Source organism: Homo sapiens, chromosome 4, assembly GCF_000001405.40.
Source record: "Homo sapiens chromosome 4, GRCh38.p14 Primary Assembly".
Classification (NCBI taxonomy): Eukaryota; Metazoa; Chordata; class Mammalia; order Primates; family Hominidae; genus Homo; species Homo sapiens.
Window position 1 is genome coordinate 52356302 of NC_000004.12, and position 15278 is coordinate 52371579.

The following is a 15278-nucleotide window of genomic DNA, read 5'->3' on the forward strand; positions in this document are numbered from 1 at the left end:
AAGGAAAAAGAAGAACAGAAGATTCAAAACATTTGATCAGAACATTTGGTACCAGCCCTTGCATTACCATGTCAGTCTATGTGTCCCTGAGCAAGTTATTGAAGTTCTCTAAGCCTTGTGATCATAAGACCTGTCTTTTAGGATGTGGTTAATATTAAATCAGAATATGTATGCAGAACACCCAGCATTGGACCTAGATTCATATGTTCTTAATTCATGGTGGCCACTATGGCTACTTTCTGATTTCCCAAAATGTGTCTGCTACAGTTTTAAATGTATATTCTCTCCGAAATTCCTGTTGTAACTTAATCCCCACTGTGGTGGTGTATTAGTCTGTCCTTATACTGCTAATAAAGACATACCCAAGATTGGGTAATTTATAAAAGAAAGAGGTTTAATGGACTCACTCTTCCAGATGGCTGGGGAGGCCTCACAATCATGGCAGAAGACGAAGGAAGAGTAAAGGAACATCTTATGTGGTGACAGGAAAGAGAGCTTGTGTAGGGAAACTCTCCTTTATAAAACCATCAGATCTCATGAGACTTATTCAATATCATGAGGACAGCACAGGAAAGGCCCGTCCAATGATTCACTTACCTCCCACTGGGTCCCTCCCATGACACGTGGGAATTATGGGAACTACAGTTAAAGAAGAGATTTGCGTGGAGACACAGTCAAACCTTATCAGGTGGTATTAAGAGACAGGGCCTTTGTGGAATGAATTAAAGCACTTATAAAAGAGGCTTCAGAGACCGTCTTCCCTCTCTTTTCCTTCCACCCCTCTGCCATGTGAGGACACGGCATCCCTTCCCTCCTGAGGATCCAGCCACAAGATGCCATCTTGGAAGCAGAGAGACAGGGCCCTCACCAGCCACCACCTTGATCTTGGACTGCTCAGATTCCAGGACTATGAGAAATAAGTTTCTTTTGTTTATAAATTACCCAGTCTGTGGTATTTTATTATAGCAGCATGAACAGACTAAAGCAGTGTCTATGGAACAATAATACCACAAGAGGTTCCCAGGTATTCTGAGGTCAAGAAAGTTTAGGAAACTCTATACATTTCATTTCCTTCTTGAAGATTCAGAGTGACAACAGGATATTAATAACACAGAGAATTTCGACAGTTAAGAAATCTGTTTTGTTTATCTTTGTCTTTTCATTTACATCACTATTTCCCAGGTTTTGAACATGAGACACGGGCCTACAGTACTTTTGCCTAAAAAGAAGAAATGAAGCTACACTTGGGGTTCCTAAACTTTGTGAGAAAGGCTTTTAATTTCTTTTCCTCGAAAAACATGATGCAGAAGTTGGAGGGGCAGCTACAAAGTGACCATATTCTTCTCACTACTGGGACATGTGGTAACCTGTAGAGAGGGAGGGCTCAAAGCTGCACCTGACATGGGGCCAACCAATAAAGCCCTGAAGTCCACTGCTGGGTACTCATTAACTGGTTGGAAAGCTAACCCTGTTATTCTTTACAATTAGAAAATTATGGGCCAGGCCAGGTGGCTCACGTCTCTAATCCCAGCACTTTGGGAGGCTGAGGAGGGCAGATCACCGGAGGTCAGGAGTTCAAGACCAGCCTGGCCAACATAGCGAAACCCCATATCTACTAAAAATACGAAAATTAGCCAGGCGTAGTGGTGCGCGCCTGTAATCCCAGCTATTCAGGAGGCTGAGGTGGGAGAACTGCTTGAACCTGGGAGGCAGAGGTTGTAGTGGGCCGAGATCATGCCACTGCACTCCAGCCTGGGCGACAAAGCAAGACTCTGTCTCAAAGAAAAAAAAAAGAAAAAAGAAAAAGAAAAAAAAAAGAAAATTATGTAAAATTTTGATGATCTCACAAAACAAACAAGCAAACACATTTTCAATTAATAGGTATTGTTAGCTGTTAATAATTACCCAACGGGCAAAAATCTGCTTCACCCTAAAGTACAGCGTGCCCTGTTGTGCAGGGAAGAGACTGTTAATAACAGCCCCATCACGAATCCTATTGGCAGATTTTCCCTCAGCATGAAAAGGCGAAATATAGACGAGTTTCATGCTTGAAACTAATGTTTAAGATCTGTTCGAGCACTTAAGCATTTTACAATGAGGATGATATGTACCCCCTGCACTAGGCTACATATTCAAGAAGAGCTTAGCCAGAGACGCTGGGAAGAGGCTGAGCAGGGGCTGGAGAAAGTCTGCATTATTACTGGCAGTGTGTCCTGGGGTCCATCAGCTGGGCGTGACCACGGAGGATGCAGACAGACCTTTAAAATCGATGACAGCATGTCTCCAAAGAGGATGAGCGGCCAAGGAGAAAAGCAGCCCGCCCAGCAACCCAGGCAGGAGTCGAGGTGATGCAGGCAATATCTCCTTCCTAGAGAACACGGCTTCTCTATCATTGTGTTTCTTTTCCATACATTCATGTTTTCTAAACAAGGCAGGATTGAGAGAAGAGGTGGAGGTGTCTTACTGGGTGAGCTGAGGGGGCCTTTTCAGGGTCACGAATTTATTAATTCAGCTCTCCAAGGCCAGATTTCCAGCTATAAAATAGGGACAGTAATAGTATCTACCTAATGGTGCAGATCAGATGAGAGTCTTACCACAGTACATGGCCTGTAAGAGGAGCTCTGTTAATGTTGCCTTAATTTAGACAATGATAGTAGAGTGTTTACCTCCTTGAGCTCATGTCATATGCTGACCATATTTCACTTCCTTCTCCTAAGAGGGCCTGTGTCCCAGCAGGCGCTTGGCTGAAGCATGCTCATGGTAATTAAATCTAAGGTCTGGTGGTGTTGTGTAAAGAATAACTGATAGGCAGAGATTCTGAAGGGAGCTTTGGGAATGGAACATCTGGTTTGGAAGGAAGCCTTATAGGCCAACCCCCTGTAGGCCAGGGTAGGAGAGGAAAACAGGAAGTTTTATTCATCTTACTTTCTTGGTTTTTCAAGTTACAGTCTCCAGCTGTTTATATCAACTTTGTTTTTCCTAAAGAGCACAGAGAGTATAAAGCACTGTTAAGTCACAGCCTTTCCATTAAGTAGCCCTTTGTAGAAAATCGGAGTTATTCTTTGACTTGGCTAGTTCATCTTTTATTTTTCTTTTCTTCGCCCAAAGCAAATATCTTTTCCCTGGCTTCTTTTCAGGCCTGAATAAGTTGTAGAGAAGGACGAGAGGAAAGAAGTTTGGGAAGAAGAAGGTGGGGAGGAGCAGGAAGGTGGAAGAAACAGGAGAAAAACCCAGGGGAAGAGGAAAGAAAGGAAAAGAGTTCATACCCCAGAAATTTAAGATACCAACATGTTTCCAGGATTGGAGGGTCTGCACGTGGATCAGTATGAATTCAGTGGGGCACCACAGATGGGGATCGTTGTCCTCAGAACTGAAGAAGAACAACAGGAAACAAACCCTCAAAATGAAGACTATGTGTTCCTCGAAAATAGATTATATTCAACTTATTGACAAGTATCACTGCAAACACTTAACATGACATTTTCTAATCTTCCTGTTGCCCTCATATCTCTTCCCTCTAGGGTAGGGGTGAATGAATAGTCTCTGGTGCTAGACTACAAGGGTTCAGACCCCAACAGGGCTACTCACCAGTCAGGTGACCTTGGGCAAACCACTTAACTCTCTGGGCCACAGTTGGCTCATTTGTAAATGGGGATGATGATGATGTTGATGGTGATATCTTACCTATAGCCTAGGGTATCCTGAGGATTAAATGAGTTAACATACGTAAAGTGCCTAGGCAGAGGGTAAGTGCTATATGAATGTTAACTATGATTATTCTGGCCACTCTGTTGAGATACTTGAATCCTACAACACAAAATGGCATGCATTGTTTTTTCATAGCACTTACTGCATGCTTTGAACACTTCATATATAAGACACCATTTTATGCCCTAGAAGGCAGGTACATTATGAATATGACCCATATTATAGATGAGGAGACTGAGGCACAAAGAGATTAAGTGACATGCTTAATTTCCTGTATCTCATAAATGACAGAGTTGACTTAAACCTAGGTAGTTTAGCTCTAGAGAAGGGGTCAGCAAATGAGGGCCTGCCACCTGGCTTTGTAAATAAAGCTTTATTGAACCAAGGTTATTCCCAATCATTTATGTATCATCTGGCTGCTTTTGCATTAAAATGGCAAATTTGAAAATATTTGTTATCTGGTCTTTTTACACTAAACCTTTGCTGACTCCCGATCTACAGTCTAACTACACTTATAACTATTAAGGTAGGGTTGCCAGATTTAGTAAATTAAAATATGAGATGATCAGCTAGATTTAAACTGCAGATAAACAATGAAGAGTTTTTTTCAGTATAAGCGTATCCCATGTAATGTTTGGCAACTCTACATTAAGGTAACCTGCCTCTCTGATCTACCTTTGAATACATGGCCAACATTTTTCAGAAACCAAGTTCCCTTTCTCTCTTCTGAATCACGGTGAGCTAGAACTGCAAGGGACTTAAGATGGTCAATAACTTGCCCACCATCCACTCAGGAGTTCATGACAGAGCTGGCCTGGAGCTGTCTCTTTGTAAAACAGGTGGCCTTGTTAAAGTTTTTAAGGTGTGGTGGTGGTGGGGAAGTATGGTATTTGTGGAAAAGACCTGGACCAGAAGCATGGCTGAGCCTAGGAAAAATCATGACACAGAAAGTCATCTCTGTTAGGCACAGACAGACAAAACCACATGATCTCACTTATATATGCAGCGTAAAAAAGTTGAACTCACTGAAACAGAGAGCAGAATGGTGGTTACCAGAGACTGGGGGTGGCAGTGGCTAGGAAGATGTAGATGTTGGTCAAGGGATACAAAATTTGAGTTAGACAAGCAGAATGAGTTCTAGAGATCCATTGCACAATGTGGTGACTACAGTTAATAACAATATATCATATACTTGAAAATTGCTAAGAAAGTAGATTTTAATTGTTCTCGCCACAAATAAATAAGTGTATAATGTAACACATATGTCAATTAGTTTGATTTAACCATTCCACAATGTATCTGATATGGTTTGGCTATATGAGCCTGCCAAATCTCATGTTGAATTGTAATCCCCAATGTTGGAGGTGGGGCCTGATGAGAGACGTTTAGGTCATGGGGCCAGATCCCTCATGGCTTGGTGCTATCCTCATGATAGTGAGTGAGTTTTCCTGAGATCTCGTTTTTGTAAAGTGTGGCACCTCCCCATCCCCCAACTCTCTCTTGCTTCTCCTCTGCCATGTGAGATGCTGGCTCCCCCTTTGCCTTCTGCCATGAGTAAAAGCTTCCTGAGGCCTACCCAGAAGCCAAGCAGATGCCAAGCACCGTGCTTCCTATACAGCCTGTGGAACGGAGAGCCAATTAAACCTCTTTTCTTTATTAATTACTCAGTCTCACATATTTCTTTATAGCAATGCAAGAATGGCCTAATATAGCATCTCTGTTTCAAAACGTGATGTTTTATGCTATAAATATATATTTTAAAAGGAGGGAAAAAGGAGAAAGTCATCTCGTGACTTCCTGTCCACTGGTCACCTCACCAGCCTCAGTTTCCCCCATCAGCAGACTTGATGTACATCTTTACAGCTGACATTGCCTGAAACCATATTAACTGCTTCCTTTCAGCTTCTGTGAAGTATAATAAAACCAGCAGTGCTCTTCCCAGGTGAACTGAGACTTCTCTTCTCCCTCCTGTGACCTGGAAAAAGTCTTGGAGATTGGAAAGATGCAATTCAGAGTCAGACCAATTTGTTGTCAGGGGTAATGACAGCTAATATGCAACCTGTCTGGGCTGGAAGAGGGAAACACCTCCTGTCGCCCAGGCCTTGCCCTCAGAGGGATGAATTTTGTCCTCTGTGCATTCAGGAGAATGAGGAGATCAGGATCCCATGCCTGAAACCTTGTCTTCCACTTCTAGCTCTGTATAACTTTGAAGCAATTACCTAAATCCATCCACATGCAGATATTCATGCCAGAGTTCAGTAGATATTCTATTCTTGTATTCAGGTGAGGTGGTACTTTAAAGGTTTATTCCCTTCATGTTCCTCTCTTCAGAGGACAGTCAGAGACACACACCCTGGGCCTGAAAGGCAGGGGCCTACCCTGTATGTTAAATTACCAACCTACCTCCTATTTCCTGAGAATACATTGATTCATGCCTCTCAGGAGTTTCAAAATCTTGAGACATGCATGCAAAATAAAAGTCAAGATTGATTGGTTTTAAAATACAGGCACAAATTCTTCAATGCTCTTCTCGTCAAGAAGTGGGTGAGGGTCTATATTTACTCTTTAATCTGTGTAAGGTTATGTCTGCTTTGACCTATAAAGTGTGGTGGAAGTAATGCTATATAATTTTCAAGGGTAAGTTACAGAAGGTCATGCAGCTTTTTAATCTCTAAGATTGTTTACTAGAATACCTACTCTTATAGCCATGCCACGCCATGTGAGAAATCCATTGACCCTGAGAGGCCCTGAAGGGAGGAAACCCAGCCACATGGAAAGACAACATGTAGATGCTCTGGTCAACAGTCAGCTGAGCTAGCCTTCAACTTAGAGATACAAGGCATTTGTGTGCGGAAGCTTCCATAGGTACCAACACCCAAACTTTCATGTCACTTCAGGCTGTCTGAGTCTTCAGAGCTGAGACCTCAGATGTCATAGAGCAAAACATCCCCTATTGTGTCTTGCCTAAATTCCCTATCATCGAACCTATAAATCTAACAAAATGGTTACCTCTTATGCCACTAAGTTGGAGTGGTTTGTTATGCAATAGATAAACTGAAACAATCATAAACTTGAGAGAGAGAGAGAGAGAGATAGCATTGTATTATAAGCCTTTGGGGGTCTATATTAAAATTTACATTTTAGGATCTTAAAACTATGAGGAAGAGTAGATAAATAGATGCATCACTGATTAAAACATGAAAATAATTTTTACAACCCAAGATGGCTCATTTAATTTTGGCCAATTATCTTCAAAGAGGTTTGCTCAAGTATGACACCACAACTTGGAACAGCTCATTCGTGAAAAGGTAGCATCATGGGGTTTGTAATACCCAAGGTTTATTTTCCAGGGGGATGTTTACTTTTACTTTTATTTCCCCATAGGCCCCAACTCCCTATTATTCTTTTATTCTTCCCTCCTTGTATATAACCTTTCAGCAAAAGATCAAACTCTGGCCCTATTTCCCCTGACATCAATGGAGAAAAGAAAAAGGGAAAAATTTGGATCTAAAGAAGTCCATGGAGACCCTATATAACTGGGAAATGTGCCATTTGCATTTATTTATTTTATATATGGTTTCAAATTCTTTGAGATCCTCAAGGACTTTGGTTTGCCTGACTTTGGGGCAAAAGTAAGTCTGTGTAGTCCAGCATTTAGTTGGCTGCCTCTCTTGATCTATGCTTTGCTCCAGTAGCATAGCAAAGACTTGCTTTGTGTTGTAGACAAACAGAAGTAGACGTTTGGAAATTTGGCATCAAGGTGGAGCCCAGAAAGTAGGTAAAAGTTAGAACAGACAAAAAGTTGAAAAGATGAACTATTAATCTTGATAGCAGGCATATAAGCTCACTAAAGAAGAAAGCACTTTATATATGAAACCACTGCATAGGAAGGAAGACCCAATACCTGAAGATTAAATTAAATCAAAGCATAATTGCTTCTAAAAATAGTAATAATGAGAAAGCTATTGGAGTTGTATATTAAATTATAGATATTTGGCATAAACCTTGTAACCAGATGAGTTTTCAGTGTCTCTGTAGGCTCTTTCTCCTCTCAAACCATTTTGCGCACTATTATATTAATCTTGCAAAAAGTTTATTTCCATCAAAAAGTGCCAGAAAATATTTTCTCCTACTGTCCTATTTTGGATTTGAGAAATTGAAAGCCAGAAAGGTGATTTAGCCAAGGTACACAACTGCTTCATGAACTGGGGCCCAGATCATCTAATTCCCAACTAAAACTATATACTTTCTTAAGGCACAGACATTGAAAGGCAGTAGAGAAGATATAAGAGAGGTGACGAGGAAGCAGCAGCCAAGAGACTTGGGTTATCACCCAGGGAAACAGAAAGAAACTCACAAAAACTGTGAATGCTGTTCATCGAAAGTGAGTATAGGTGATTAAAACAGAACTGCAATTACTCTTGTAACTTTCTGTTTCAACAATCATAATAAAAGAATTCATGATTGAAATAACCCACATTAAGCATCCTATATGTGCACTTACACCCCATGTACACCAGTTTTTATGACCAAATGGATTTGCTTCTTGCAGAATAATTTATGTCATCTATGTAAGATTGATTAAAAAATCCTCACAGAGGGTAATATATAGCTAAATAGTTTATATATTTTGACTTCATGGCGCTCGTATTAGAGAAACTAATCTCACAGAGGTATGTTGATAGGAATAAAAGAAAATAGGCTGGGCACAGTGGCTCACGCCTGTAATCCCGGCACTTTGGGAGGCCGAGGCGGGTGAATCACGAGGTCAGGAAATCGATACCATCCTGGCTTACATGGTGAAACCCCGTCTCTACTAAAGATACAAAAAATTAGCCGGGCGTGGTGGCAGGTGCCTGTAGTCCCAGCTACTCAGGAGGCTGAGGCAGGAGAATGGCGTGAACCTGGGAGGTGGAGCTTGCAGTGAGCCAAGATTGCACCAGTACACTCCAGTCTGGGTGACAGAGCGAGACTCTGTCTCACAAAAAAAAAAAAAAAAAAAAAAAAAAAAAAAAGATATATATATATATATATATATATATAAATTTGACTTCACAGCACTCAGAAACACCAAGGCCGAGCGTAGGCATGGTGGCTCATTCCTATAATCCCAACACTTTGCGAGGCTGAGGTGGGCAGATCACCTGAGGTCAGGAGTTCAAGACTAGCTTGGCCAACATGGCAAAACGCTGTCTCTGCTAAAAATACAAAAAGTAGCCAGGCAGGATGATGGGCACCTGTAATCCCAGCTACTTGGGAGGCTGAGGCAGGAGAGTCGCTTGAATCCGAGAGGCAGAGGTTGCAGTGACCTGAGATCGTGCCACTGTGCTCCAGCATGTGCAACAGAGCAAGACTCCGTCTCAAAAAAAAAACAAATAAATAAAAAACCAATCTCACAGAGGCATGTTGATAGGAATAGAAGAAAGGATTTTAAAGCAATTTTATTGAGCTCAAGATACCTATTTTTAGATTTTTGTCTGAAATGAAGAAAGGTCTATAATTTCAAAACTTTCATCAATTGAAATAGCATCATATTTGTACCAAAATTACCTTGAGATTTTTCAATGGTTGTCCTTAAATTGCAACACTTAATATCAAAATCCATGCTTCAGATATGGGCTATTAAAACTAGAATATACAATCAGTATCTTGAAAAGATATCTGTACCCCATGTTCAATTGCAACATTACTACAATAACCAAAATATGGAAACAATCTAAGTGTCCATTGATGGGTGAATGGGTAAAGAAAATGTGATACACACACACACACACACACACACACACACAATGGACTATCATTCAGCCTTAAAAAAGAAGGAAATCTTGCCATTTGCGACAACATGGTTGAATCTAGAGGACGTTATATGCTAAGTGAAATAAGCCAGGCACAGAAAGACAAATACTATATGACCTCACTTATATCTGGAATCTAAAGAAGTTGAACTCATATAAGCAGAGAGTAGAATGGCAGTTGCCAAGGAATAGGGAGAGGGGTGAAAAATGAGAGATGGTGGCCAGAGAGTGCAAAGGTTCAGTTATGTGGGAAGAATGGGTTTTGGAGCTGTAATGTACAGCATGGTGATTATAGTTAATAACAATGTATTATATACTTGAAAATTCCTTTAAAAAGTTGATCTTGAGTCTTCTTCCCCCGACCCCCACACACACAAAGTCATAACTTTGGAAAGTGATGGATATGTTAATTAGCTTAGTTGTGGTAATCATTTCACAATTTATATCATCACCTTGTACACTTTAAATATACACAATTTTTGTGTGTCAAGTCTACTTCAATGAAGCTGGAAAAAAAGAGTAGGAAAACATTCCCCACAAAAACCTTCCTCAGTAACCAGATCCCACCCTTCCTGACGTAAGTCCAACAGAATGATAGTTCAGAATCCGAAATGAAGTTGAATCACAGAAAATGCGCAACGTTTTCTTTCTTTTATGCTGGAGTTTGTGAAATGAGAATCATACCCATTAAGTATTTCATATATCAAGAAAGAGTCTCTTAATGGTGTCCTTAGAACCTTATAGACTCTCCCAAAGACAACTGTTTTATTTTACTTAATCGGTGAACACAACCTCTCTGAAATGTAGCATCTTCAAAGACAATCAGTTTTAGTAACATTTCTTCCTTTAATTGATTCTCTTTCTTGTATATTTAACATAAAGAAGAAACATGTGTTCCTGGAAAGATCTATTTTACAAGGCGTTAGATTGGGTCCACAGCCAGATGGAACAAGGCAAGACGTAGAATGTGCAGCAGCCAGTGTGACAGGGCTTGCAGCTCAGACAGTCATTGAGCGCCTTCCTCAAGGTCTCATTAAAGCCTCCATGAATCCCCAGTGCCAAGCATTGCACAAGTGAGAGAAATAACATACTGTTTTTCCATCACCTCTTTCGGTTACAACTGAATTCACTTAGCAAATAATGGAAAAGTAAATGGAATGGGTTTTACCTTCTTTAATAGCTGACATTGCTATGTTGATCTTTTCCCATACAATAGTAGCAGCCCTAGCACCAACAATGGATTTTATTCTGGTCAGTGACATTTTCTTGAAGGAATCCCAAGTTTAATAAAATGGAGAAATATTTCTTACAATTGACATAAAGCTTTCTGACTGTAAGTCATAAAATCTGGAAGAAAACACCTTAGTCCAGTGTTGCTGTTTTTCCCCAAGGTAGTTATTAACAAACACACAAGGCTAGCAATAAAATTCAATGATGTTTCTAACAACAGGAGAAAAATTATTGCTGAATCTGCTGTAGTAAGTAATTAATATAAGGCAAATAATGACACTGTGGGATTAGGAGCAGGAAAAATTCATTAAAATGCTCTTTGTGTACTTAAAGCAGTTTGCATATCCAAGTGAATTACTTGAATGCTGGAGGACATTTACCCTCAGCATCTGTTTTATTATCCACTAGGAACCTGTGCACATACCTTGGTGAACCTCATCCTTGCTCCACCAAGATAAACATGCCAGAAAGGGATTGGGTTTGGCCAAGAATGAAGCATTCACTACACCATCAAGCATTTTCTTCTTTGTCATAAGGGAGCACTCAACTGGTTTTCCAAAGGCACACGTGCAAAATAGAATTAGCTCTGCCTAGTTGTGATGGCTCTTCCTCCTTCCTGTGGGGACAGCCCTGCCTCAGTGCACTTTCATAAGGGCAGCGTCTTTCCCCCATGGGACCTGTGTGATTTATAACTCTGAAGAAAAGCTTACACTCCATCTAATTGGGTGGTCAACATTTGGACTCAATTTTGAAATTCATTTTCTGTTACTCTTTGTAAACCTAACAAAATAAACAAGTGTAGTTAATTTAGATGTCTCTGGGCAATTTTCATCCATATGTACCTTGCGGCTTAAATTAAAAAGCAATTAAACCAGAAGACTCTATTTTGCTGTCAGAAAATTGCTCTCTTAAAGGGGGGGTGTGTGTGTGTGTGTTCACGCATGCGTGTGCATGTGTGTTTCCAATAAATAAACATAGTGAGTCATTGGATTGTAAGCTCGTTGAGGCATAATCTTGTTTAAACAAAATGTTTAATTCAGTTATTTTTATTTATCCTTTTAATCAACAAATATTTACTATGTGCCTGGCACTATCAATCAGTGGATAAATGAATGAAGAAATAAATGAACAAATGAATTAATAAACCATCCACTTCATGGCCTTGTCATATCTCTCCAACATTACATCCTCTTGTTTTTCATGCCCTGAAAAAAATACAGCAATTTACAAAAACTCCTTGCAGCCCACAGATCTTATACTTTGGAGTGAACAAGCAGTACCGTTGCTAGTATTATGGAAAAAACCATGTTTTTAATATAAAGTATATGTACCTCCATGGTAATGAATAATTCACCTGAGTACCTACTGGATTTACATACACTATGGGTATTTTGATAATATCAGTTAACATGAAGCCTTTACTTTGGCTGGAAAAATATTCTAAGTTTTAATATACAGTAGTCCCTCCTTATCCACAGGTGATACATTCCAGACCCACAGTGGACACCTGAAACTGTGAATGCTAGCCAACCCTATATATACTATGCTTTTTCCTATACATACATACCTATGATAAAGTTTAAGTTATAAATTAGGCACAGTAGGAGATTAACAACAAAAACTAAAAATAGAACAATTATAATAATATACTGTAATAAAAGTTATGTGAATGGGGTCTCTCTCTCAAAATATTTTGTTGAACTGTACCAGTGGGTAACTGAAATCTTGGAGAGCAAAACTACAGATAAGGGGGACTACTGTGTCTTCTTATTTAATCCTCACAACAACCCTATGATGTAGGTATCACCCCTACTTCATATCTGAGGAAACTGAGATACAGAGAGGTTGAGTAACTCCTGTAAGTCTGCACAGCTATTCAGTAAGAGTGCCGAGCTCTTGGTATCCACAGTCTGACTCTAGTACCTCTGCTCTTAAACTCGACACACTCGCTCCCGTCTCCACAGTGCCACAGCCCAGTCCATTTACAGTAAAGAGGCTGGCAGGCCACAAAGGACTCTCTATTTGCTTAGAGCAAATTTTCGTCTTCACCCACTTAAACAAGGAAACAGAGGATTGTTTGAGCTACACTGACCAGCAAACAAGAGCTTCAGGAGCCATCATTCATGTAAGAATTCTATTTATGCTACATTGTGTGTGCACGTGCATGCATACATAAACCAATGCAAAAAAGAATAGTTACCAAAATATGAATGTTTGTTATCTCAGACTGATGAGATTTCTGATGAATTGACTATTTCCCCTTGCATTTTCCTATGTTGTTTGAATGTTTACAAGAGCAATAAACAATTGATACAATCAGAATAAATATATTAAATCATTTTTATTGTGAAATAGTGATGGCTCTGGAGTCAGCTTGGGTTTAAAACACTTTGATCTGAGCTTGGGCATGTTTCTTATCCTCCCTACTTTGGGCTTCCTTATCTGCAAATTGAGGTTAATAAAAATACTGCTATCACTAGACCTGGAGAAGATGACAATGAAAGACACACCATGCCTTCATAGAGTGTGGCAGGTCCAGAGCCACATACATGTGGCTTCTGGAGATGAAAATGAAATTTCCACCTTGAAGACCTGCCATCGGCTCTCATTTCTAACAAGAAAGGCCAGGCCACCATGTGGCCACAGCTCAAACAGTGAGATGTGCTCCAACTCCATTTGGGTTGTCAAATCCTCTTTTCTGTTTTATATCAGAAGTTCAGAACAGCCCCAGGCAGCAGCACTACAAATGGCTTCACCCTTGGCATTCCTAGCATGAGAATCAGTGTCTAAACAACATACTGGAATGTTGAGTCTATTCATCTCCTTTGATCTGGCCAAAGAGGAAGCATTTTTCACATAAGACAGGTACAGTAGTTCTTTCATGCTGTCTCTATGCATATTGACTTTTCGAAAGAACAGTGATTGACAATGAAACCCATCCATGAAACAGAGAATGGAAATAGCTGGGAAGACTGGTTTCCCTGCTGCTTGTGGGATAGAGAACACTGACAGAGGCCATGGCAGCTCAGAAGAGAAGAAAACAGGAGCCAATGGTCTGTGGAACAATAATAATGATGATTACACCTTGTCACCTTCCCTGGCTGCAGAAGACCTTTGCTTTAATATATTTGGAGAAATTCCCAGCCATACATGGCCAGATTCAGTAAGAACCAGTATCCCTGGGTTTCCCAGCCAGGGAAAAGCATGTGACAGGGACTTCTCTACTCAGAGCCACTCAGCTGAGACTTATGTGACTCTAACAGGTCCATAGCCCAATGCGCAGTAAGTCAATACACCGACACCTGGGGCTGCAGCAGAGAACGTTTTAATCGTAAGGCTGCCAAATGAGGGGATGGGAAGAAACCTCAAATCCGCCTCCCTGGGGAGTTTGGGGATAGGGACTTTAAGGGGTTTGGAGTAGGTCAAGGTGTAGGGATCGTTGATTGGTCTGAGAATGCAGGGTGAAGTCATGGGATGGGGAGATGAAGAAACTGCATTCTCATGCTGATTTAGTTCCTCTATGGGGGTCTTCAAATTGTGTGACAACAGCTGTTCCACTGGAATTCAGCATCTGAAAAATATCTTAAGCAATGTTTAAAGAAAAAGCCTTGTGATTCCAATGTGTGATCCTATCTATAGGAACAAGGGATGCAAATGATCAGTGTCTACAGTTACGTGACTTTCTATTATAAGAAGGTGGGCCAGAGTGTGGCCTGATGAATGCTTAATTATAACTGTACATCTGCCCAGAGCTCAGTATGTAATTCTTGTTAACCCTGTGGGGACAGTTTCACTTCCAGTTAGAAGGAGGCTCCCTGGAGCTCCTATTTTACTAGTGAGGGCAGCACTAGAGGTATCTGGCTTCCAGAAGTGCCAGAGAGTCACAATGTCAAGTTCCTGGCGGGGCCGCGGTATTGGTAGGACAGTGGCCGCAGTGGTTTTTCCAGTGTTAGGCAGGGAAGCAGTGGCATTGTCCTTCTCAAAGCATTCTAGAGTTGGTTTGTTCATCCCTCCTGAAAGCCTAGCCTCAAGTCTCCCAATATTCTTTACCAAAATCATTTCCTGCTTAGTTAGTGGCAAGTTTCTTATGTATAACTAAGAACCCTAAAAATTACAAATACCTACTGTAAAGGAATATTTTTAGCCTTCCAGGAGCCTGAGAACCATGGCTGGGCAACGTTGTTGCTAGCTAGTCTCGCACGTGGAGACTGAGCACAGGACTGCTCTGCCCATCTGCTTATCCCCATCCAGGAAACCCATCACGTGAAGTGGCCCTTCTACCACTCCCTGCGCTCTGGGTCTCCAAAGCCCTCATTGTTCTTAACATGATAGGTTTACCCCCTCCCCCGTATCAGTGGCTTTCAAAGTCTGCTATATGACAATCAACTGGGGAGCTTTTAAAAAACACTAATGCCCAGGTCGTACTCCATACAAATAAAACCAGAGTCACTGGGGTGGACTCCAGGCATCATTAACTTTTAAGCTCCCCAGGAGATCCCGATATGCTGCCAAGTCTCAGAACCAGTGGTCTAACCAGTGGTATTC